Source organism: Homo sapiens, chromosome 11 (genome assembly GCF_000001405.40).
Source record: "Homo sapiens chromosome 11, GRCh38.p14 Primary Assembly".
Taxonomy (NCBI): domain Eukaryota; kingdom Metazoa; phylum Chordata; class Mammalia; order Primates; family Hominidae; genus Homo; species Homo sapiens.
The window spans coordinates 12,860,855-12,886,352 of NC_000011.10; the positions used below are offsets into that span (position 1 = coordinate 12,860,855).

The window sequence follows — 25,498 nt, forward strand, 5'->3', positions numbered from 1 at the left end:
GCAACCAAACCTAGTTGGGCAATTAGAGAAGACTTCCCCAAGGGAGTGACATCCAAGTGAGGCCTTGAAGGAGAAATAGAATCTAGCACAATGGTCTCAGGCTGGTGAAGCACATGAGTGAATGCCACAGCAGCAAGCTTCAGACTTGTTCTTGACCAAAGGAATTTTTCACAAGGATAGAGCTGAGCTGATACAAAGCCAGCCAACAGTAGTGCTATGAAATGGTGGTTTTCCATTTACTGTAGAAAGTATGTAGAAATAATTTCAGTTCCTGGTATTAGAGCAAGTTGAAGTCGTAAATAGGACCTGCTTAGAAGAACCCATGTCTTGTATGAGTGGTTTTTATTTCACGTGGTATTTTGGTAATACATTCTCTGCTTAGCTTCTGGGGATATTTTTTCCTATCATGGTTTTCTGAAGTCAGGTTGTCTGAGACTTCTCAGTTTCCTGGTGGGATAGGGCTAGAAGGTTTTTGTTTATACTTTTGGGCATTGTTCTTTCCCCAGAAGGTTATATAACTTGGAGGAGATTGAGTCATTTTTTTCACTGACTACCTTTAGGGGGTGTCTGCCTTCGTACTGTTAGCTTCTTGTCATTGTCCGGCTTCCGTGGCCACAGCAGCTCGTTCGTTCTCTTGTGGCTGTGATTTTAGCTGGAGTAAACTATGAGTAGAAACTTGAATAAGAAGGAAAGTGAATATGAATGTGAATATGAAAAACCAAAGACTAGAAGAGAACTGGGTTTGTTTAGTCCCAGACTAATCCTTGTCTGTATTTGTTGCTTATATGAGTGACCCACCACCCACAGCATACAAACAGACAAAAAGGCACATCTTAAAAAGATAAATTTCAGCTGGGTGCGGTGGCTCATGCCTGTAATCCCAGCACTTAAGGAGGCCAAGGCGGGTGGATCACCTGAGGTCGGGGGTTCGAGACCAGCCTGACCAACATGGAGAAACCCTGTCTCTACTAAAAATACAAAATTAGCTGGGCGTGATGGCGCACGCCTGTAATCCCAGCTACTTGGGATGCTGAGGCAGGAGAATCACTTGAACCTGGGAGGCAGAGGTTGCCATGAGCCAAGATCGTGCCATTGCACTCCAGCCTGGGCAACAAGAGTGAAACTCTGTCTTTTTTTTTTTTTTTTTTTTTTAAAAAAAAGGATAAATTTCTATTCTTAGATGCTGGTCTAAGTTCAAATTTAAATGCCTTTCATCTTAATTTTTCCTAGTAAACATTTTTGCAGACAATTGTGCTGTTTTATTTTTCTAGTATTAGTAAACACATAGTTGTAATTTTAAAATTCTTGATTCTGAATTTTGTTTTTTGCTTTCAAGGGCTTTGTTGGTTTGGTGTTTTGGTAACCCACCTCATGGTAAATTCTTCTTTCTTTCAGGTAGGAATGAATTGATAGCCAGATACATCAAACTCAGGACAGGCAAGACGAGGACCAGAAAACAGGTAAAATAACCCACCTGGAAATTGTGCATGTCAGCGAATGGCCCAAAAAGGCATTTTGGCTGCAGTGGCTGGCTATGCTTTGGCTCCTAGGAGCCCCCAATTTGAGTTCCCTGTAAGGACGTCAGTGTTGGAGGTATTTTAAATTGGCTCAGTTTTCACTGTTCATCATTTCAGTGACCCTTTATTATGTGGTCTTACAAGTTCCTTTTATACTCACATGGGAAAATGTCACTGCTAAGGACGGTGTATGAACCGCTCCTGTACTGTATTTCAAAGCTGACATTTCTTTCCCAAAATGTGCACCTGTGAACACTGCAAAAACTGCAAGTGCAAATGCACTTGCAGGTCATGAAATTTTGAGGTTTTGTGCATTGTAAAATCCTGGAGCGATTATATATTAGTCATAATTTCAATGAAAAAGTAACGCCAGCAGCCTTGAGTATTGGCCTGAATGTAATGCTAAATGATGTGCGTCCAGGGAACTGTTGCTTTTTAAGCGATGGCTTTTTGTCAGTAGCTGCTGTGACTGAAATGAAGTTACAACTTCAATACCTCTGTGCAGAGCAGTATCAGGAATTCTCTGCCCTTTGGCAGAGCTCTGCCTTTCCTCGTTCTTTCAGATGTAAAACAGCCCAAATCTCTGACATGAGCCAGTTTAGAACTGGAACGAATGAGAAATTAGTGTTTAACTAAAAACAAAAAAAAGAAAGGAGGAAAAAAAAAACCCTAAAAACCTCATGGGTGAGTTGTTCACAGAAAAGAATTATTTTTTAATGTCGATTTATGCTGAATGATACAGCATGAACCTTAAAAACTGTAATCAGACCAAAAGGCTAACTAAACCGTGGTCTCATTAAGATTGAGCAGCAGATTTCAGTTCTCTTCCCAGTGAGGAATTGTTTTCATGAGTGTTTATAACGGGGAGAGGCTTTTCCCAGGAATGCTACTTGTGCCACAGCCTGGGAGCCTGGCTGCTGAGTCAGCACAAAGAGAGGTGGCCTCCTGCCAGCACGCAGAGGCAGCGCATTGTCTGTTTGGGGGATGCTAGTGGCCCTCGTCAAGTCAGAGAATCACAGAAGAACAAAATTCGGGTGAAAACAAGTAACAGCAGGAGCCAGATGGAGGGCTGAAGAGGATGGGGGAGTTTCTGCTTCTCTGTACTTAAGAAAAGTACCAAAGCAAATTGGAAAAAAAAATAATTGAATAATTGAAGCTCAAAGACAAAGTTAAAGATAAAAGGACCGTTTATTATAAATCCTGTTTTAGAGCCGCTGGAGAGTTGGAAATGGGGTAATCACCACACAGTCTGAGTCGCTGAACTTTTAAATGGAAAGTTCTACATTTCGGAAACCAGTGGATCTAATCATCTACATTCTGACAGTGCGGGACCTGGGCTGTCTGCTGGTCTGTGAGCTCTGGTCATTTGCCCGGTGACCCCTTCACTGAGGGACTCTTCTAAATTTAACCAAGTCCCACTGAAAGAGATGCAGATTTCAGTGGAATCATTGTGTTTCAGAAGCTGGGCTCGGCTACATTTCCACGCCCCGGCATCCTGGGGATGTTTTTAGGCAGCAGTTGGTGATACCTCTCCAATGTGAATTTGTTGTTCAGCAAATCCATGTGGTTTTCAACCCAGATTTTTAACAGGATGGCTGGCTGGCTGTATTCACACATTTCGCTTTGTAATAATATGCAAATCCACTTGGCGCCCAGTCAATACCCAAAAGAGTGGAAGGATTAAAGATTTTTATAAGGGCAAAAAAAAAAAAAAATAGCTCTGCTAACTGGGTCTTTCCATTTCTCTTTGAGATCTAATTTACATGTCAGTATTATTTTAACGTTTGCTACAGAATCCAGAGCTCTTAATGAGATCAGAATACAACCAACAGCTTCAGCTTTTTGATTCTGCAGAATGTGCTAATTTATGGATAGTCTCTTCTAAATTGAGAAAAAGGGATTTTCCCTCCTGATACTGAGAAGCTATAAATATTTTCATTTACCTTTACTCCCACCTTTTTAATTTTAGAATGAAAACAGCCCCTCTCATCCCTCCCAAAATTAGTTTTTCCCAGTGCCCATGATTTCTCTTGGGTGGGAAGACTAAGATGAGTCTTAACTTTCATCCTGAATCAAGTCACTGCAGTGATGACCCAGTATGAAAAGCTTAGAGCAGCGCTGGGGGCTTGTGTCTGGCTGGGACTGTGTATTCCTAACTGCAGAGCTTTGTTGAGATGCAAATAACCACCCCCCAACCCCACCCCAAAACCCTCCCAAAGAGTAGCGATTTTATATTTGATTTCCTTTTTTGTTTTGTTTTGTTTTGTTTTGTTTTGTTTTGTTTTGTTTCCCCTCATAAACCCGAACAATGTAGGTGTCTAGTCATATACAGGTCTTAGCAAGAAAGAAAGTTCGAGAAATTCAAGCCGCCATTAAGGTACGTCTGGCTTGCCCACTTGTAGGGGGCTTTTCATCTCCATGGTTACAGGCTTTTCCTTTGTTTTCCTCCCTTCCCCTACCCTGCAGGTGTCTAGTCACATTCAGGTTCTTGCCAGAAGGAAATCTCGTGATTTTCATTCCAAGCTAAAGGTATGCGCTTTTCTGCTTTTTGGCTTGTGGTTGCTATGCATCTCACTTCCTGTTTTCCATGGTGACTGGTGAATGCCTGGTGCTGGGATTCTCGTAACCTAGTTTCCTTGCATGTGAGAGCTGTTTACATTTCTTTGTGTTTAATCTCTCTGTTTCTGTACTAGCCTCACATTAAACTCAATGTGTGTGAGCGCGTGTGTGTGTTTGCGTGTGTGTGTGCGTGTGTATGTGTGTGTTCCTAATAACAATGCAAATGCAGCAGAGAGCTGGTCTTGATAACTTTTCAGCACAGAAACATGATTTTTTTTTTTTAACCTTCAGATGTCCACCAAGCAGCCATGGGCTAGGAAAGCTTAAAAAAAGAAAAGTCCAGAGATGCAAAATTGAGTAGAAATTATTTAGAAAGAATCATTTCCAAAGTGGTCATGAAATTACCTTTTTAAAAAATTTAGAAATTATTTTAACTCATGCTTTTGATGTATTTTTAAGAAGACTTATAAAAAATACGTCTTTTTCATGCATGTCTCTTCCCTCAGAGTATTTTCAGCCAGATTTCTTCCACATTGCTTACTACTGTTTTTTAAGTGAATGGCGCTCTTATTAAAAGAGAAATCTGAGCAGTGGCCTTTAAAAAAAAAAGATAGATCTTAGAGATGGGAAAACTCTTGATCAAACCCATTTGCAGTTTCATTTGTACTTGAGTTTGCTTAAATTTTTTTTTACTTGTACCTCATTTTTCAGTCTCAAAATATATTTTATAGGAAAAATGGGGGCATTGATAATTTTTCATATACAACTTCTTTCTGCTTTTTCCCTTTATAAAATTTATAATAAAACATACCTGACTTTTATTTTTCTGTAATGCCCTATTTTAGAAATGCAAAGAGATTATAGTTTGCAAGGAGGAGCTTTCGTTTATAATAAAAATTGATTTTGGCACATATTGATGGCTTTCCCATGTGCCTTTTTCGGTTCTGTTCTGATATTTTTCTATACAGTAATTAAATTTGTGGTTTTGTTCTGAACTAAAAAACAGTGTAGTCTCACAACACTTGAGTGGTGAGCACTGGGACTCTTCCCAAAGTCCTTCGACTTTTTTTTATGCAAACAAGGCTGGCTGTGGAATAGGACAAGTGATTAGGAAGGAGCATTTGGTGTGCCCTCTGCAGTGGGCAGCATGCTGGCTCGCTCGCACGTGTGGCTGATGGTGGCTGGCTTTTAGCTGCACTGGCTGAGCAGTTGGAAGACTAAGATAACTTTGTAGATCCTGCTTTTTAACCAAAGGTGCAATACTCTCTATATGGATGTAACTACCCCAGTTTTTGCTCAAGTTCTGACTCTGTTTCTAGTTTCTCTGAGCTAATGAATTAATGATGTACAAAGAAGTTTACAGATAACAATGTTGTTTCCATCTGTGATGATATGAATTGCTCTATTTCTGCACTGTCTGTGTGGTTCCTGTGGACTCACCAGGGCACACAGCCTTAGACTGAAAGCCCTATAAGTGAGGAATAAAGCTCTTCTGTTCAGAAGGGATTCCCATGTGATATAGGAAGCACTCTTTTTCTCACTTGGTGAATTTTAGAGTTTTCTTCCATAGAAACAATTTTTCTGTTGCTTTATACATGTACATATGTAAAAATACACAGCGGTATTTATGTTTGTTTCTAAAAAAAAATTAACAATAATAAAAAAGAAACATTCCCCTGACTTTCAGCCCTGGGCCACTCTCTTTTGGGGCAGGCACAAGGAAGAGACAGAAACAGAAGCAGTAGGATAGCAACTGGCTCAGCATTTAAGCTCCAAGAACCACCTCCGTCTTCTTGTAGTTTCTTCCGTTCTTTCCTACCATATTGTTCTTGGAAAAATGGAGTCCTTTGTTTTTCCATCTGCTAATACCAACTGAGTGTTCCAGGCATGGTGCTTGCTCACTGTGATGGGCAGTTAACAGCCAATATCCTGTTCAGGGAGCTGGCCATGTAAATGGGAATGTAAACTAGAGGAGCACTTTGGGTAATAGCGGGAGCAGCCAAAATGAAATGTGGGGTGCATCCCGGGGATGAGCTTCGTGGAGAGTATACTGTTAAGTTTGGCAATTGAAAGAGGAAAGGCAGCCTAATGCGTGCTCCCTCATTTAAGCTCACTATGAAGTGACTTACAGTATTCTGCTTTTGGGGCATGATACTGAGGAAACTGGGGCTGAGAGAGTATAATTGACTAGTCACAAAGCCTTCCTAGTAAGTGGTGAAGCCAGGATTTGAACTCAGATCTTTTTGCACCCTAAACGAATCATTGTTTTAGATAAAATTTTATCTAGTGAAGGTGGGAGAATGTTTTCAAGCAGAGGGCTTCACACCAGCACACTGTACCTAAACTGTCACCCCTCACAGTCTTTGGGGCTGGGCATTCAGCCTTTGCTACCAGCCCTTCACTTGGCATCCACATTTTAACTTTGAGCCCTTGGTCAAAACGTGGACTTAATTTGGGTTGGTGCTGTGAGGGTCATCAGTAACTGGGGGAATGACATGGTCCTGGAGACAGAGCTGCTTGGCACCACTCTGAGGGCATTAGGACAGTCGCAGAGAGTGAGGCTGTCTGTCACCTGCTTGCAGGAGTTGGTGCTGCTTTCTTTCACTCCCTCCATGAGCATTTTATCTCAAAGGCAGTATACTTAACCTTCCTAACCAGCCATTACCAGGATATGGGCTCAACTCTGTTGATGTCCCAGCTCCATCCATACCCCCTTGTTCAGCTCTGGAATCTAATAGCACATTTGTGAGGAGGCAGGGACAAGCATCTTTACCGAGGTCATCATGGGGTCAGGCTGATAGCCATGGTCTTCTTGGCCTCCCACACTAGCTAGTGAGATAAACTCGCTACAGATAATTGAGGTCATCCCAAAAGACAACAAGGATAGCTTCTGGGTGGGTGGGGAGCAGAGGGGAGTGGCAGGAAGTATCCAAGCTTAAAAGAGACACTGTGCTTTGCCTGGGAAGATGTAGGAAGGCCTCCTGGAGCAGGTGGCTGGTGGCTGACCATCCCAGTAACTATCCTTGCAGACACTGCCCTAGCCAGGTTGGTTACCACTTCTCCACAAACTCAGACGTCGAAGGGGTAGACAAAGGTCTATGGTCCTCATGTGAAGACCGAAACCAGACTTGCATTTGTCTGTCCCTCTGTGGAGTTGGAAAAGTGGCTTACCCGCAATGGAGGCCACTGCCAGATGTGTCTTCCTGGTGAGTCTTCTTGCTTATAAGCTTCTCTTTACTTTCCAGGGAAGGGTGTGGCAGAGTTCTTTGGGCTGGTGTTTTCCAGCCTTTTTAAAGTAGCAAAACTCATGTTTTGAATTGAAGCTTACTCCCTCAAATCCTTAGTAATGGCCTCTTAGGCTATTCCATTGAATCAGGTTTGAAAAGCCCCCTGTTTTAGGCAGAAGGAAAAGGAGGTGTCTACCTCTTATGCTGTCCCTTCCAGCCTTTACAGAGAGCTCCTGTGTCCCATTTAAAGCCCATGTTTTTAAATTCTGTAGTTTTGAAGTTCTGCCATGTTCCTAGGAAGAAAACAGACTCCAGGAGAGAGTGGTCATTTGATGTCACATTGATAGATGAGTCATCCTAGCTACAAAAGTTACTCTCCTGAAAATCCGTTAGAATAAATTCTAAAGGTCAGCTTTATGCTTCTACTAATTGGCAGTTGTTCTCAATGTGCTTGTTTGTGGACTAGATCACCCCCAAATTGTGTAGACTTAAATTTTAGTAAAGAAAAAAATTGTTCTAGTGAAAGTCTAAGATTTCTACGTAGATTTGAACTTGAAAAGCATAGGAATGATTACTGAATTCAGTCCAGTGGTTTTCATTGAGAACCTAAGTGTGTTCTAGGTCCTTTTGTAGACGTTGGGCACATAGAATTGAATCCAGAGTTTCTGTTCTTGAGGAACATTGAACTTTTCTGTTATTTTTCCAGTAGATATCCACAGCTAGGGGGCTCTGCAGTAGAAATTAAACAGGATAGTGCAGAGGCTGCCCAAGTGAAAAGAATGATTCATTCTGGGAGTGAGGGAATTAAAGCTTCATGGAGAAGTGTCATTAGAACTAAACATAGTTGAAGGCAGAGAATTTCCATAAAGTTGGGACTATCTGGGGGACCATGAAGAGCATCATGTAATTGGGGACATGCGGTGGGAGGTAAGACTGGAGGAGCCTAAGGGAAGGGCCCTCGATTATCCCACTGAGGAGAAGGGATTCATCTGTGGGCCTAGGGGCATACATGGGGTTCATTCAAATTTACCCTCTGGAAAGACCTCGCCAGCCAGGTTTTGCAGGATAGCTAATAAGAGGGAGGCCAAGCTGGAGTCAGGGAGGCTAATTCCTGGGCTGCTTTAAGAGTGGGGAAGAGAGTCACAGGCTGGGACCAGGGGCCAACCCACACCCCCTGGGGCTGCTCCGTGGCACTTAGCACTCATCCTTGGCTGGCTCCCTGCTTTGGTGCTCTCTGCCTGCTCTGTAGTCTTTCCTACTCATTGTGTTTAAAGAATAAATTATAAGTTCTGTCCTTATGAAGTCTGAAAAGTGTTGTGTGCCAGAACTTTTCAGAAAGATTTTCAATAGCAGCATTTAAAAATCAACTTATTAAAATTGGGTTCTCTTAAAGTAATGGTAATTGACTAGGAGTGTGCATCAAAATTATGAAGTTTTTGTTGCAAAATTTAAACAGTACAGAAAATATATTAAACACTCATGTTTATACTATCTGGAATTGATCATTTTCATTATATAAGTTTTTTTTAATGAAAAATCAAGTGGCAAACATTATTCTGTACTTTTTCCTCTACCCACCCTCCGTCTTCAACCAAAATTAATCTTCCTTTCTTTCCTACCACCCACAATGTATTTTCTTGCCACTTACTTCCCTTAGAAAATCAAATCCAGTGAAAGCTCTCTCTTCTCATTTTGCTCCTAGATTTTTGCCCATTGTCTTTTTCTTTTTCTTTTTTTTTTGAGACAGAGTCTTGCTTTGTCGCCCGGGCGGGAGTGCAGTGGCGCCATCTCGGCTCATTGCAACCTCCGCCTCCCGGGTTCAAGCGATTCTCCTGCCTCAGCCTCCCAAGTAGCTGGGATTACAGGCGCTCATCACGACACTCAGCTAATTTTTGTATTTTTAATAGAGACGGGGTTTCACCATGTTGGCCAGGCTGGTCTCGAACTCCTGACCTCAAGTGATGCGCCTGCCTCAGCCTCCCAAAGTGCTGGGATTACAGACATGAGCCACTGCGCCCAGCCGATTTTTGCCCAATTATCTACCATGAATTTGTGCAATAGCCATTGGCACCAACATGAGACTTTTCCTCTGGAATTTTTAGCAGCTTAAGATAGACTCGGCCAACAATTTGGTGACCTTGGATACAGACCCTGACTGCAGAGGAGAGATACGAGGTTCAGGACATATAGGGGATGGTTGAACTAGAAAGGGAATAATGCGAGGAGACAGTGAACCAGGAGCAGAGAAGCTGGGAGAGTAGAGACAAAGCGTCAGTAGACTGAAGCTGAGATTCAAGAGCTCGGTAAGATGGAAAAAAGAAAAAAAAAAAGGCATTTGTGGCCAGAGCACAGTGATTTTGGAAATTAAATTTATACATTCAGAGTTGTGGGGATTTTCTCCCCCGCCCCCCCCGGGGTTGGGGCATTTTCAAAATATCTAGGACAAGGCTGGGCACGGTGGCTCACGCCTGTAATCCTAGCACTTCGGGAGGCCGAGATGGGCAGATTGCCTGAGCTCAGGAGTTAGAGACCAGCCTGGGCAACACGGTGAAACCCCGTCTCTACTAAAATACAAAAAATTAGCCAGGTATGGCAGTGTGCACCGGCAGTTATAGCTACTTGGGAGGCTGGGGCAGGAGGGTTGCTTGAACTTGGGAGGTGGAGGTTGCAGTGAGCCGAGATTGTACTGCTGTACCCCAGCCTGGGCAACAGAGCGAGACTCTGTCTCCAAAAAAAAGAAAAAGAAAAAATGTCTAGGACAGAAGCTAGAGTACAAACTGCAGGCCTAGAAGAGAGCTTAGCTTTGAAGGAGTTGTTTCTTAGTGATGGGAGTGCTATGTGTTTGTCTCCTACTCAGACAAAACCCTTTTGACCCACTGCTCTCAAGGGGGTAGGTTTTATAGATGACCCACAGCCTGTAGCTGGGCCTGAGTCTACTTCTAAAGTAGAAGATGAATCCATGCAGTTGCAGTGTGAAAGAGGCTTCTAGGCCTATGGAATATCCATTTAAAAATCCTGAGGATGCTGAGTTAGAGGTCTCCCTTGGACCTTGTGTCACCAGCTGCAGCGACAGCAGTGTCACCAACACCAGCTTTACCTGTTGTCTTCCATCTCACCCTTTCCCTTAGTTTAGCCCCTATTGGCGTCTCCAGTGGAGTAGTGAGAAGCAGCAGCATGTCTGAGGATTAGCTCACAGCCTTAGAAATTATTCTCTACTTCGAATTGTTTCACTTACCATTAATTCATGAAAAAGTCATTAACTGTTTTTTTAAGCTCCAGGGATTTATTATCCCAGCATGTAGAAAGAATGCAGAAGCATTCTCCATGTGTTAAGCAGTCTTTTTCCTACTCAGAGTTTCTTTGTAGAGTTCCATGCAGGAGTCTCTTTGCCTGTATGTTCAGTTGCCCTAAGAAGTTGTTCAGACCCTGCTCAGAGTCCTTCTTTCCCCATTAGCAGCAAAAAGGCAGTCCTTTCTTGCTGTTTTCAGAAGCTCACGGTAGCCACAGCCAAGGTCTGGGAAGCACCACCACACTGTGGGCCATCTCCATCTTCCCATGAAGATGGGCCAAGCCACCTCTGGTTCACTTCTCGAGTGTGTTTAGGTGAGTGTATGACTCGGGACAAAACTAAGAGGAAAGGAAGTCTTCGCCGTGCCCTCCGCTCGGCAGGAATACATCTTAGGCAGTAGATGTATTCACGTCAGGCTCTGGATGTGTATTGAAGAAAAACCTGTACTTGCTGACATTGCATCATCCCAGTAGAGCAGAAAGAGACCTGAGCCCCTCTGATTATGTCCAGTCGCCGGTGACTAATTTATGAGCTACATGTGCTCCCCCGGGGCCATTTTCTTGTTCTCGCCCTGGTGGCCTTTATGATTTGATTTCTGAACAGGCCATTCTTTCCAAACTGCTGTTCCTTCCAATAGGCAGAGAGCTTAAAGTTCAAATTGTTGATTTAATTCTTTTGAGTTCAAGAACTTCACTGGGGCATTGCTAAAGTCCACACTGCTGAATCATGTTTGTATCATCACTGATTCCATCCAGGAATGGGCCTGTCCACAGGGAAGGTAGACGTACTTCACTTCACTCTGTGTTGCTCCGTGAAGCCCCCTGAGCCACTCTGCTCCTTCAGGACTTGGCTGTTAGCAGTGCAGGAGGCAAGGAAAGCCTGAGCAACAACCTCCTTTGTCTGTGTCCACACCAAGACACTTGGCCTTGTCACGGGATTTGGGAAATGATATAATCTTTCCTGGCATTTCCCAATCTTCAGGGGGAGTTCTTTTGCATTTATGACATATACGCTTTCTCCTCAAAGATATTTTTATTACCTTGTTTTTAATTTAACTGAACGAAAACTAAGATTGGAGACAATTTCTCAGGCTTCAGTTGGAACCACTTGCCAACAGTGTGGTGATGGAGAAATTAATGATGGGAGCCAGGGCACTGAATATGTAGATAAAGATAATTCTGTGTGAACTGAGCCAGGTCTGGATTTTCTTTATAAGGGCAACAGAAACAGTCTCATCATTCTACATTTTTATCTCTTCATAGCGAAATCCCATTGTTAATTGGCCTCCAACTTAGATAATGCCCTAGAATGACATCTATCCAAAAGGTTATCTAGTGAGGACAAGGGCTCCTGAGTATTTCAGGTCCCGAGCAGAATCCAGCTTGGAAAGCCAGTCCATTACCTGGCCCCCGTAGACTGCAAGCTCACCCAGGGCCAAGGCTGCAAGCACCATACTAAGTACTTGAAGCAGTCCTGAACAAAAGTGTTTTTATCTTTGATTTATAAATTAGGACACAGAGGCGTGGAATGGCTAACTGGCTTGCTTAGAGTCACAAGTCTGAAGTTAATCCAGGGATATCTGGTGCCACAAGCCAAGCTCTTTGCAGGATGTTCTTCTGCCTTCCCAAAGAGTACTGGTCCAGGATGAGGTTCATTTTCCTGACTTGGAATGCTTTGCATTGTCTCCCTCCACTGAGCCCTCTTCATTGTGTCTTTATGTTTGAAAGAAATAGAAGAAGGACTCACTCTGGAGCTTAACTTGAGCCTGGAGCCAGTTTAGGTTCCTCTGGCCCCTTGCTGTCACCTCTTAGAGAAAAGGGGGCTGAGGTCAGAAGGGTGCCTTCTCCCAGACACCTGGATCCGGCAGGAAGCTGTCCTAAATCCCAGGCTTCCTGGGAGAGAGTCATGAGGCACACCTATGAGTTTGCTCGTCTGTAGTCCTCATCTACAATCCTTTATGATGTGAAGCCCCACATCAGAGTTAAAGGAAACGATGTTGACAATTATAAAATACCAAATATAGCTGAGTATATTTAAAAATGAACAATGGTAAAAGCCTTGAAAATTTTTCCTTGGATGTGAATGGAGTCTTTGGCATTTGGAAATACAATAAAATGAATTAATTGCTGCTTATTAGGCAGCGAGTCAGGAGAAGCATGAATGTGCCTTCTGTCCTCTGCGTTAGCTGTTACCTGACTGAAGTAGTCTCCTTTTGTATTTACTCCTGCCTTTTCTAATGATAAGCAAATTAGAGATCATAGCTAGAAAAAAAATCAAGTGCCCTCCATCCTTTTTCCAAAACCATAATATAGTTCTGTGATGTTTATCTGCTCAAGGGGTATGGCTAATAATTGCAGAGGTCATGTGGAGCCACATAGTGCAAGATTAGAAAGAACATCTGCAAGATTACTTCTTAGGAAAGTATTTTGTGTTTTGTCTTTTTCTGAAAAAGTGATTGTGCAAGCAAATTGCTGTCTTTCCTCCCTTGCACTATATTGCTGGTTAAAGCATATTTGAAGAAAAACCATTTAATAACTATCAAGAGTTTTTGAATCCATGGTCGTTTTTTTGACTTTACTATTTTTTCTGACGTATTTGATGGACTTCTATATGAATAAATTACATTGGAATCCTATCTTTAAATTCTGAAATCATGGCCCATGAATAAACTGTTTGGAATATATTGATTATGCTGTTCATTAAAATTCCATATATGGCAGCTATCATATATTGTATATGCAAGCATGTAACCTTTTTATGTTATCTTTAAAGTTTGTTCATGGTAATACCTATAGAATATGAGATAATTGATTTTGCAGAATAATCAAAAGCTGAGAAGCAGAAGGAAGAGAAGGGAACAAGACTCCTCTGATATCCAGACTGATCCGTGAGATGTCCTTGAGTTTTAAGAGTACACCACTCCAGCCATGTGCATTTGTGATATTGCTGTCCTCCTGTCATGTATATTACATGTAGATATTTTCCAAACATTGTGTCCATTTCAACCATAAAAAGGAGGCAATCAGCAGAACAGAGAGCTATAGCAGCAGTAGCCTTGCTCTCCTTCATGAAATATGAAAGCCTGTTTTTACTTAGAACAATAACAATTTGTAAGGCTTCAGGCTGAGGAGTTTATGCATGACACAGCCTGCTGGACCATGTAGCAGAGGCAGCGAGACCATTGAGTGTGGTGTGTTGGAAATTGGTTAATGATAAAAGTAGGGTAGATGATGAGACAGGCATCCCGAGTCTCAGGTCAGTTGGACCGTTTGTTCTTAGAACCCATCCTCTTTCCCATCAAAAGTCCATAGACCACCCATAGTTCCTGCTCCATGAGTGTTTTCTGCATTGCAGGTCATGGGCTTGGGTTGGGGTTCAGTTGGAAAAGGGAGATTTCCCTTTTCTTTCCCCACTCCCCAAAACATTTGGCTTTTTATGTCCTCATTCTTTGTAATCTTAGGGATAGAGGGACGGAAAATCAGCAATAAGTAGTCAGTGTGAACTTGTCCAAACATTTTTCTAGGATGCAATTTTCTTATTCTTGCTCATATGCACACGCACGCACACATACACACTCAGAATATTTCCTGTAACCTAAGACTTCACAGAGCATAATTCCGTATTAACCTAACAGTTTTTCAGCATCAAACAATGTGCTCACCTTTGTAAATCTCATCCACATCTCAGAAATGTTGGTGTGAAGACATCTTAAAATTAGTGTGGTGTACAAATGTAGCATGTGTTTGAATTTACCTAGCTTCGCTTGTTTGGATAGATTAGCCTCCTCCCCTTTAGAGTGAGGATGAGTAGTGAGGATAGAGTCGAATGCTTTAAAGTCTGGGATATTAAACCAGAGTGACACAGAGGAGCAGTTCACTCAGGTCTGACACTTAGAGTTATTTTTTCAAAGCCAGGCAGGTATCTCTGGGCTGCAAATGACAATTTAGAGGTCCTTCCATTGAAATCTCTTAGCTTGGCATTCTTTCAAATTCCCGTTTCAGGATAAGTGGGTCTGTAGGCAGACCCTTGGTTCTGATTTCAAGATATCCCTGGTGGTGCTTATTATTTCCAGGGTCACATTAGATTTTAAACAAAAACATTTTAATCCTTTTAATTTTCAATATATATTGTAGATAAAGGGGAGATGTTATAAAAATTAAATGAGTAGTCAGAGTAGCTCGACCACAAAAGGTAGGAAATCACTGGTATAGACATTTTAGTCCATTTGCAGAAAATTGCCTATTCTCAAATAGGTAGGTCAAGTGCAGAAAGAACCTCTACTTGAGATGAAATTTCCTTTCTACACTTAGCTTTCTATTAGGACAGCAGACCAAAGCTGCCCAAATTTTAACATCCTGCTGTCTTCTCACTAGTAGTTTCCTTGACTATATGCATTGAAAAGTATCTGTTTATAATGGAATTTACCCTCATAGCTACAAATACCTTTAAACCCAGAAGGACATTAGGCAGTAATGTGCAACTTTTAATTTTATAAATAAAGAAACTTCGAAGTCATTAAATGACTTGATCCACATAATGCAGCTCATTAATGTCAGGCAGGGACAGGTTTGAAGCCAGGTCTCCGGACACCCCAGTGGGTACACCTTTTATAGTCTTGGAGCAAGTTGGTGTCATAAAAGCAATTGATTTGCTCTCCTGCTCTTGAACTCCTGTTTTCATTTAGGTACCTGGTAGAATGCTGGGTAATGAGAGAGTCAAACCTTACTTTAACAGAAGAAAAAGATCATGTTCTGAAGCTGTGTGACATAAACAGCAAAGATAGGTGCTTTTCTCCTTTTCCACACTGACTGATTTCCGTTTCAAAAAAGAATATCAAACTTGTTTGAAGATTTCAAATGATTTTTAATAAGCCTAGCAAATTTCAAGCAACTCAATAAAGCGGGATGTGGAGATGCAGGGAACTCATTTGGACCTGGACTTAGAATTCATGAGTCACCCCACCCAAGTGTGCACAAACAGATTCTGTATTTGGGCAAGCAGAAGTGCCTCTGTCTGCAGAATTTCAAATACGTGGAACTCTTCGGGTCTGTGAGAGGATCCACGATGTTCTTCTGGAATGGAGCCAAGCCCTCAAGTTCTTTTGTAGCTATTGCTCAGATGTGTCAGTCAGGCAGGCAAGACGTCTGTGCTGCCATTTTCCAATCCCCCTAGCCTGGGCCCCAGAGAAGTTGTAAGGCTTGTTCTGTGCTGAGGAAGGCACCTGTGGTCATACCTGAGCCATTACCTCAGTTTCAGAAATCTGCCTTGAGAGCATTTATAACCCCCTTGGTAGAGGTTGAGTGGCTTGGGGGCTGGAGTCCAAAGTGACTGGTCTAAGAGAAACCAATGGATTCGTATTGATGTCAGGGTGATGTTGATGGGGAATGGAGTTGGTGTGACTAGGGCCATGGTTTCTGTTCATGGGCTACCCTCTGAGGGGATGGACAAGCGAGGAGCAGGTAAAGCCACAGAATAGCCAACAGTAGATTGCCTGGCACTGAGGTCTGCATGTGTGGGCCCAGTTTGTCAGTTTATCATAAAATCCCATACACTTCAAGATTTGCCCTCTTTCTGGCATCCTCAGTATCTGACATGTTTCAAATCTTAAAAAAAAGGTTAGTTGAGGAAGCTAGCTTTAGGTTAGAACATTTGACAGATTAGCAAATGGAGCCCCAAGTCGAAGAACTGCCATCTGATAAGAAGGAGATAACAGCAGCAAAAGGATCATTCTGAGTCACTCTGGCCGTTCTTTTGAGGCCCAGGAATCCTGCCAGCTTCTAGGGCCCTTGGAGTGTCACTCGGCCACGGGAGGTGTCATTACAGATGTTCATAATGACCTTGAGCATCCATGAAAAGCTGTTACTTGAGGCTCCTTAGTTTTTCAGTCACAGCCAGAGTAATATATAAGACATAAAAATTAATGTGGCTGGGCGTGGTGGCTTACGCCTGTAATCCCAGCACTTTGGGAGGCCAAGGCGGGTGGATCATCTGAGGTCGGGAGTTCGAGACCAGCCTGGCCAACATGGTGAAACCCCATCTCTACTAAAAAGACAAATACAAAAATTAGCCGGGCATGGTGGCATATGCCTGTAATCCCAGCTACTCAGGAGGCTGAGGTAGGAGAATCACTTGAACCTGGGAAGCGGAGGTTGCAATGAGCTGAGATCATGCCACTGCACTCCAGCCCGGGCAACAAGAGTGAAACTCCATCTCAAAAAAAAAAAAGAAGAAATTAATGGAAGTGTTAGGCTCCGTTTTCTTTTTCCCCCCTCCCCTCCCTTTCCTTTTTTCCTCCCTTCCTCCTTCCCCTTTTCTCCCTCCCACCCTCCCTTTCTTCCTTCCTTTTCTCCTTCATTCTTTTTTTTTCTGATGGAGTCTTGCTCTACTGCCCAGGCTTGAGTGCAGTGGCTTGATGAACACAGCTCATTGCAGCCTTGACCTCCCAGGTTCAAACAGTCCTCCCACCTCAGGCTCTTGAGTAGCTGGAACCACAGAAGTACACCACCACACCTGGCTAATTTTTTTTTTTGTGTGTGTGTGTGTGGAGACAGGGTCTCTCTATGTAACCCAGGCTGGTCTTGAACTCCTGGGCCCAAGTAATCCTCCCACCTCAGCCTCACAAAGTGCTGGGATTATAGGTGTGAGCAGCCACACCTGGTCTTCCCCTTTCCCTTTTTCTTTATTGGCTCTTTTTCAAAGGTTAATGTAAGCTTTTTGGAAATTCACATTGTCTTCCTGACAGTTATAGGGCAAAGTAGTATCTACACCCTGGGAACACCTAGCACATCTTTCTTAGAAGCCCTTAGCAGTTGTTCATGAGCTTTGATTTTTTAAAAACTCCTTTGGCCTTGCTTTTGATGCCTTGATGTGTTTTTTTCATCACCTTTGGTTATATCAGTAAGCATTGAAGCACCCTCTCTGCTGGTACTTGGTGTCTTAGCCTGAAGCTCCCTTTGACGTTCCCTGGAGGTGGAAAGCACTCTTTTTATTTTGATGTCACCATTTTGTTTTTGCTTTGATGGCATTTGGGCCTGGAATATAGACCCTCTATTGGCACCGGTAGCCTTTATATGCCTACGAGGCTCAAAGCCCTGCCTGTGCCCACCGGGCCTGTCTCATACCAGGAGGCTATTTCTCTGTCTGTCCTGGGGAAGCCACAGAACCAGTGCAAAGGAGTTGAGGGGTAGTTTTTTATTGTTGCTGTTGTTGGGTGCCCTTCTCAATCATTGCCTTTCTAGATAGCCATCTGGATCACCTTTTCTTCCTAAAATGTGAAAAGGCCCACACCCCTATGCATTTTATTGTTCCCAAGTATTATATGTTTGTGTACATATATACATATGTATATATACACATATATATATGTTTTTTTTTTAACCAAAGAAGAAAAAAAATCCCTTTTTATGCAATCCTTTTAACAAATTGTTTATTATTGTATCCAGGTAACAAGCATGGTAAGTATTTTCACCAAACTGAGTATTCTGTATTTTAGCTGTGCTTGGCAGACTTTTTTGGCTAGCTTTGTGTTGTTAGCCTTGGCTTTCCTAGAAAAGACCCGTTCAGGAAAAGGAGAAACCACGTACCTGTAGCATCCCCTAGGCTCCTGGCTTCAGTACGAACCCACGTAGCCTTAGCCCCACGGCGGGGATACCTGAGAAAGCATGCACCCCGCCAGCATGCTGCTTGGCCCTGTTACCCCCAACCCCCGCTGCTTCTGAGCCTCTCCAGCCAGGTGTCTGCAGGGCTTCCAGGCCTTGCATGACCCCAGCAGCTCCTGGGACCATGGCCCTGTGACAGTCAGGACACACAGATAGGGCTCCTCGAGCTCTGTGGACGGTCCTACCCCAGTCCACAGCTACATCTCTTCTCTCACTCCTCCTCCCATCCGTTTGCTTAAAAGCAGGGCCTTTATTTTTTTTTCTTCCTTAAATGTTTTAAGTAATTGGAGAAATCTTCTGGAAGCTGACAAGCTAAATAAATACGTTGTCCACTCTTCTGAGAGGCTTCACATTCTGTTGGAAAATGGATTTAATCCCTAAAAAAAGCCTTGCCCCATTGGGTCTTCCCAGTAAATGTTGAGAGGTACGGTAGGTTGAGTGTGGTTTAGCCTTCTGGCTGTGTTATTTATCCATGCATGTTTGCTTTTTTTGGCCTATTTTGTGGCTCTGTATTTTAGTCCATGTGCTCGTGGCTGTGCCTGTGTAACCTGCCTGGTAGCCATGCGTTATGTATTAAGTTGGTGTGTCACTGTCACCTTCAAGGATCAGACTGCAAAGGATAAGGCCCTGCAGCACATGGCGGCCATGTCCTCAGCCCAGATCGTCTCGGCCACTGCCATTCATAACAAGCTGGGGCTGCCTGGGATTCCACGCCCGACCTTCCCAGGGGCGCCGGGGGTAAGTCATGAGCTCAGTCCAGTAATGACAGCTGCTGGGGTTGGGGTTGGCATGTGCCAGTGTTAAGCCTCCCACCTCCATTTCTTGTCATGTGGGTCAGGTATGTGAGAGGGCAAAGGCTACCTTGTCAACTGATAACTGAGTCTAAAGTGGTGAAAGTAAGGAGGGAAGGGAGGCAGAGAGCTAGAGAGAAAGGGAGGGGGAGGAGAAGGAGGAGGAGAGGAAGAAAAGAAAAAAGGAAAAGGAAGAGGGAGAAAATCAGAAGAGGAAGGAATTCTGAGTCCCTGAAGACATGGAATTAAATGTGCCTTTCTGGGTTGGGCTCAGGCGTCTTCTCTCTTTATCTTTTTCCTGGCCCTTGGTCTCTGTCCCTCTGTCTTCAGGGGCAACTAGCCCCTAAAGGGACAAGGTATTCTATTAACATTTACATTTTGACACCTACCAAAGGCTGAGAAGCATTATGTTATAATCTCAATCCTCCAGGTAATCTTAAATGCTGCTTATTGTCATTGCCATTTTGCAGATGAAAAAGCTGAGGTTATTCAGTAGCAAAACAAGAGTTTGGATAGCTGGGATCATAGTGGAATGGATAGTGATGTCAAGAATCAGCCCCAGGGTTGCTTGACTCCTGAGGCTGCTCTTTCCCTCCTCTATGTCATGCCCCCTTTCCAGCCCACACCAATCGCAGCAGGGAAGCTCGCTGCAGAGAAGCTGCCTGCATTGCCGCTTGGAGCTCCTGGCCTTGTTCAAGCTTTGTCCTCTGCCTTGCTGGGTCTTCACTGCTGTTGACGCAGAATATTATGCAGGGAATGTTTCAGAATGAAGGGAGGGTACATGGATAAATCAGTCAGTTCAAATATTGGTGAGCCCCCTGCAGCACGCGCAGATCTTTGCTTAGGTGTAAGGAAAACAGGAGCTGCTGCCTGCGTCTGCCCTTGGGGGCATTTTCAGGAAGGAGGCGCTAAGGGGAGCTCTGGGTTGCCAGTCCAAGGATATAGGTTGTGGTCTCGTGCAAGTGGTGACCGCATTTGCACTCTGGGAAAGCGATTCTGTTGGGTGATCGAACCTGCTGTCTTTTAGCAGGGGTTGTGATGCGTAGGCATCCTAAACTGTGCTTTGAAGTAAACTCGTAATTCTGAGGCCTTTGCATTTTGCCTTCCAGTTCTGGCCGGGAATGATTCAAACAGGGCAGCCAGGATCCTCACAAGAGTAAGTCTGAGGAGGGGTGGGCACTGACAACTACGGGCTGGTCCCAGCCCACGTGGGGAGAGCTCTTCCTGGACCATAGTGTCTCAGGGCCTGGAGGAGAAAGGAGCATTACACTGAGGTCCCAGAAGGCATCCCCTTTTTATTGTGTACTTAGGCCCCTGGCAGGAAAGAGACTGGCTTTTCGGATCTGGGAGAGGTGGAAGCACCCCATTCCCACCTTAAGTATTAGCAGTCATCCAGCTGGAAGCAAGAAGTGGACCCCTCTTCCTTCATGGTATTGAAGGCTGAGCTGTGGTCCTCCTTGCCTGAGAAAGGGCGGCACAGGTGATCCTCTAGCCCATTTCATTCTAGCCAGCCCTGTAGTAGGATGGCTAGTAGACAAATCCTACTGATGCCTTGGGGGCAAGAGAAGAAAGATCAGTAAACTGGAAATAAGGGCTATTTCGGGATAAAAGAAAGGAAACCTTGCCTATATGCTGTAAAAAAAAACTTGCATTGTTTGGCCTAGAGAAGGAGAGCCTGAAGCATGTCCCACACTTTGCCTAGAAGTGGTGACTGCTTGACCTCAGAGGTTCAAAGGCAGATGCCACAGCACAAGGAATTCAGGCTGTCTTTCCAGCACATCCCATTGAACTGGAATGAGGCTTGGTGGTTTGATCCCTACCTGGCTGCTGGTCCCTCTCAGTTTATGGAACAACTGCCTCTGCCTGGGGTGTGCTACCACCTGCAGGCAGGGACCACAGCGGTGAAGGACCTCCCACTGGGAGGTCATGGTGGGGCCTGGGTAATAGCCCCTGCTGCAGATGCGATCTCTTAACTCTGTCTGCCATCTCTCTGTTCCCAGCGTCAAGCCTTTTGTGCAGCAGGCCTACCCCATCCAGCCAGCGGTCACAGCCCCCATTCCAGGTGAGTGTCCCTGAAACTCCTTTTTGGGAGCACAGCCCCACACAGCTGACAGCTGGGTCTGGCACTTTGTTCCCAGAGTCAAGAGATGCTCAACTTTGCCACAGCCGCACATTGCCCCTGACTTGCAGGATCCTTGGGTAGCCTGTAGCTCAGGAGGGCCACAGGGTCCCGATTCCCATCAGTCATCTCCCAAGAGCTTTTCAGATGGTTTGTTTAAGAAACAGGAAGCCTCCTCACTTTCACTGAAGACGCTGGATTATCCTCAGAAGGCGAAGTTGCTGCAGCATCTTCCTCAATATAAACTGGCCAAATTAGGCAGTCTAAGTCTCAAGGCCAGATAGGGTTTCATTCACCCTTTCTTAGATAAGTAGATTTCGGTCCTGCTACCTTTCTTTAAAGGAGAGAGTACATGGAAGCTCAAAGTGGAAAACATGAATCTGTCTAGCCTACCTGTCTCCTTCCCCACAAGGCGCACCCCCCATCCCCACCTGTGTGTGTAGAATTACTCCTTTGCACTACTTGAGGTGTACAGTATAAAAGTCACTGCTCTCCCTTATGGATTCCCCAAACTGAAAATGCTTTCACGTATTGCCCTGTGCCCGAGTGCTACGGAGCATTCAGAGAGAATATTCTATAGTGCTAGTGACCACAGTCTTAAGGAAGATGGGCAAACACAAGAAGTGCATGGCATGTTCGGGTCTCACAGGAAGTCTTTGGAAGCATTCACTTCTCACTGTCCTGTCATTCTTGGCTTGGTCCCCAAGTAGACCCCTTGGTGCAGGATTAGATGTCCTCATACTGCAGCCCTTAACCTTAGCTGAAGTTGGCTTAATGAGGAACACATGCTTTGTGCTTATTTGACTGTTTACCATCACTGGGGCCCTCTGCCAGCATCTGTCGTCTGAGTTATCCTGGCCAGAGCCGGTGGAGAGGGGGCTGTTGGCATTTCCTTCTGGGTCATCTGTAGAGCCCTGTTCCAGTATTTGCCTGAGGCCCAAGGGGAGGTGAGTGACCAGCATCAAAGGTGACGATTGCTCTTTCAGGGTTTGAGCCTGCATCGGCCCCAGCTCCCTCAGTCCCTGCCTGGCAAGGTCGCTCCATTGGCACAACCAAGCTTCGCCTGGTGGAATTTTCAGCTTTTCTCGAGCAGCAGCGAGACCCAGACTCGGTGAGTGTGCCCAGAGAGGTGTGTCTTGAATCCAGGATTTCTTTCCCTTTACTGTTTACCTCCTTGCTTCTCTTTCTTTCCTCCTTTACCCCGCCCCATGCCTGACAAATATCCTGTGTGAAAACGGGCCTAGGAAAGAATAGCCTTTTGATTAAGTAAAAAGGGATTCCTATTGGCAGATTTGTAGAAAACAGCAGAGCAGGAGGTGTATTACTGTCCTGGACCCCAAGGTGCTGTGGGGAATACTTGAGTCAGAGAGAGGGACGTTTACAAGCTCTTATGTTTTGTAAAATTTAACAAGAAGTAACATTTATTGAGCCTTGCCATATGCCTGGTCCCATGCAGAGTTATTTAGATATATGATCACAATTCATCCTCATAAAAACCCTAGGAAGCTAGGTACTAACTGACAAATGAGGAAACAGAGAGCGTAAGTAACTTTCCCAGAGTCACACAGTTAATCTCTGATGGATTAGAGATTCAAGCTCGGGTCCTGAAAACTCTAAAGCCTAATCATTTAGCTGTTATTCCATACTCTCTTTCCAACTCTGTTTTCTCAAGATAGCAAGTTGTTCTCTTCTTAAGAACAACTTCTTAAGAAGAAGTGGCCAGGCATGGTGGCTCACGCCTGTAATCCCAGCACTTTGGGAGGCCGAGGCAGGTGGATCACGAGGTCAGGAGATCAAGACCATCTTGGCCAACATGGTGAAACCCCGTCTCTACTAAAAATACATGGCCACGCACATGTAGTCCCAGCTACTCAGGAGGCTGAGGCAGGATAATTGGTTGAACCCAGGAGGCGGAGGTTGCGGTGAGCCAAGATCGCGCCACTGCACTCCAGCCTGGCGACAGAGCGAGACTCCGTCTCAAAAAAAAAAAAAAAAGAAGAAGTAACAAAATGGCACTTTAGCAGTTTGCCATAGAGTGCAGTGCATTATAATATCATAAATACCAGTAACATTGGCATCTGGACTCTATTTGTCACTTTCTTCTTTCCTACCTCCCCCACCCCCATCTTGTACCCATCGTCCCATTGTTTCTCAGCCAGGCATTTCCCATACATATGTGATCCTCCCTTCTTTCCCACCCAACAAGCCCCGTACCCTTTCTTCACACCCACTCCTTGGCTGTGAGTATGAGCGTTGCATCTGTGTGTGGGTGAGCCCAAGGCAAAAACTGAAGGAATCCTTAGTTTGTCTCTGAGATCCTCACCAACTCTCACCACGTTCTCTATCTCACCCCATCCTTCCCATCTCATAAGTCCCATGCTGTCTGTGTGTTGCCTGCCTTAATGTCATTTCTATTATCGGGAGACAGTGTCAAGAATGAGCTAAGAGCCTGTGGTAGATAACCGAGATGCTGAACAATTGGAGGTGACCTCTCACGGGAGTGTTTGCACTTCAGCTTGAGGGAAGGCCTCCCGTGGGGCAGAGGGGCTTGACCAGTCATCACCAGAGTGGAGAACCCACATGTGGCCCACTCATGTCTTTGTCCACAAATCATGAACTTTGGGAGCTGGTGGAAAAATAGAGCTGCTTCCAAATTAGGGGGAAAAATGAGGGAAGGAATGTAAATTGGGCCCATCAGGACAGGTACAAGAAAATGGGGCTATTCAGACCAGGAAAGAGAAGAAAAGGCCAACTGGATGACTCCTTCCAAGCAGCTGAGTGGCTAACAGGAAGAGTGATGGTGAGGGTTAAATCCGTCTAGGTGGAAGGCATTAAGACAAACTGAAAGATGCCCTGCGTGACTCTGTCCTGCTGGTTCTTTCTGGGAAGCATACATAGTTCTTTGGTTGAAGGCTGGGCTTTGGCCCAGATGCTGCTTCTGCCTCTTGTAACTGGTGTTTCCATGACACTTTGTTGTTTACAGAGTACTTTGTGGTTGAGTATTTCATTCTGTCCTTACAGTGCCCCATCAGATAGGTTCTGTTTTCCCCATGATAGGTTCTGTTTTCCCCATTTTACAGATAAAGAAACTGAGGCCCAGACATACTAAGTGACTTAAGATTAAACAGAAGGAAACAGGAGCCCAAATCTTGTATTTCATTGTATCCTTTTCACTATCGTAAAAGATCACCTCCCAGTTTTGAGGGTCTCTTGAATTGTCTTTTTTTTTTTTTTTTTTTGAGACAGCGTCTCGCTCTGTTGCCCAGGCTGGAGTGCAGTGGTGTGATCTCCACTCACTGCAAGCTCTGCCTCCCGGGTTCACGCCATTCTCCTGCCTCAGCCTCCCGAGTAGCTGGGACTACAGGCGCCCGCCACTACGCCTGGCTAATTTTTTTTGTATTTTTAGTAGAGACGGGGTTTCACCGTGTTAGCCAGGGTGGTCTCGATCTCCTGACCTTGTGATCTGCCCGCCTAGGCCTCCCGAAGTGCTGGGATTACAGGCGTGAGGCACCGCACCCGGGCTTGAATTGTCTTTTCAGTCTGAATATCTCCTGTGTAAGCAAATTTCTGTTTGCATATGACTGTTTTTTAGGAAACAGCTCCAAGACACTGGGAGGCAAAAGTCCCCACATGATTTTTGCTTCCCTGGTTAAAATACTATGGAATCATTTATAAAAATTCTCTTTTTTTAAAAGAAATTAAAATAATGTGGTAGCTCCCTCATTGTTAACTGTGCTCTCCAGTTATGGACCTCTTAGGGCCCAGAAGGCTCGATTGCCTCTTTTTGTTGTTAGTATTTGTTGGGCTAAACATTTTGAATCATTCAGACCATTCTGCAAACATTCGTGTGCACCTGCATGTGCAAGAAGCTGTACAGGAGAGGGGCTCATCGCTGCCCAGACGGCCACAGCCTCCGCCCCTGGGGAGTATAATGCCTAGCAGGGGAGACAGACACGAAACAGATGATTATCTGAGAGATCATTGCAAAGTGCTGTGACTTCTAGGAAGGAAGAATACTGAACGCTGTGAGTAACAGGAAACAGGGCAAGCTTCCTTGAGGAAGTAGCCCTTAAGCCGAAAGATGGAGGATTGGACAGGGAGAGAATAAGGGAGCAGAATATTCCAGAGGTGATGAAGCTGAAGTGTATGTGGCAGTATATTAAATCAGTGACTATTTTTGGAAAGTCAAGGCCCACTAAGTTGCTAGAGTAGAGGCCAGAGATAAGTGTTTCAGGTACGTTCAGGATACATATGATAATCTGAATGGGTAAACTGGATCTGGCCTGCTGTTGTTGAATAAAAAAGCTTGACTTACATAGACTCCACCACATGACTTAA

General features: G+C 44.4%; 1 protein-coding gene across 1 annotated transcript in view, besides 3 other annotated features; it reads left to right on the forward strand.

Annotated features, from left to right (window-relative positions):
- Nucleotides 1-25,498, forward strand: part of TEAD1 (TEA domain transcription factor 1) — a 270,317-nt gene that overhangs the window by 186,434 nt on the left and 58,385 nt on the right. The window contains 6 exon segments of the mRNA NM_021961.6: nucleotides 1,396-1,460; nucleotides 3,984-4,046; nucleotides 18,854-18,988; nucleotides 20,151-20,197; nucleotides 21,042-21,103; nucleotides 22,147-22,271. Of these exon segments, the coding sequence (NP_068780.2) occupies nucleotides 1,396-1,460; nucleotides 3,984-4,046; nucleotides 18,854-18,988; nucleotides 20,151-20,197; nucleotides 21,042-21,103; nucleotides 22,147-22,271 (497 nt within the window).
- Nucleotides 3,988-4,282: a silencer, noted in NCBI's record as "tiled region #11610; K562 Repressive non-DNase unmatched - State 7:EnhWF". NCBI's record gives its function as "represses a minimal TATA promoter and a strong SV40 promoter by Sharpr-MPRA in K562 cells {active_cell/tissue: K562}" and the evidence as "EXISTENCE:reporter gene assay evidence [ECO:0000049][PMID:27701403]".
- Nucleotides 15,375-15,875: an enhancer, noted in NCBI's record as "H3K27ac hESC enhancer chr11:12897776-12898276 (GRCh37/hg19 assembly coordinates)". NCBI's record gives its function as "activates a minimal SCP1, AML or CMV promoter by ChIP-STARR-seq in naive H9 embryonic stem cells {active_cell/tissue: H9 hESC(naive)}" and the evidence as "EXISTENCE:reporter gene assay evidence [ECO:0000049][PMID:30033119]".
- Nucleotides 19,693-20,637: an enhancer, noted in NCBI's record as "H3K27ac-H3K4me1 hESC enhancer chr11:12902094-12903038 (GRCh37/hg19 assembly coordinates)". NCBI's record gives its function as "activates a minimal SCP1, AML or CMV promoter by ChIP-STARR-seq in primed H9 embryonic stem cells {active_cell/tissue: H9 hESC(primed)}" and the evidence as "EXISTENCE:reporter gene assay evidence [ECO:0000049][PMID:30033119]".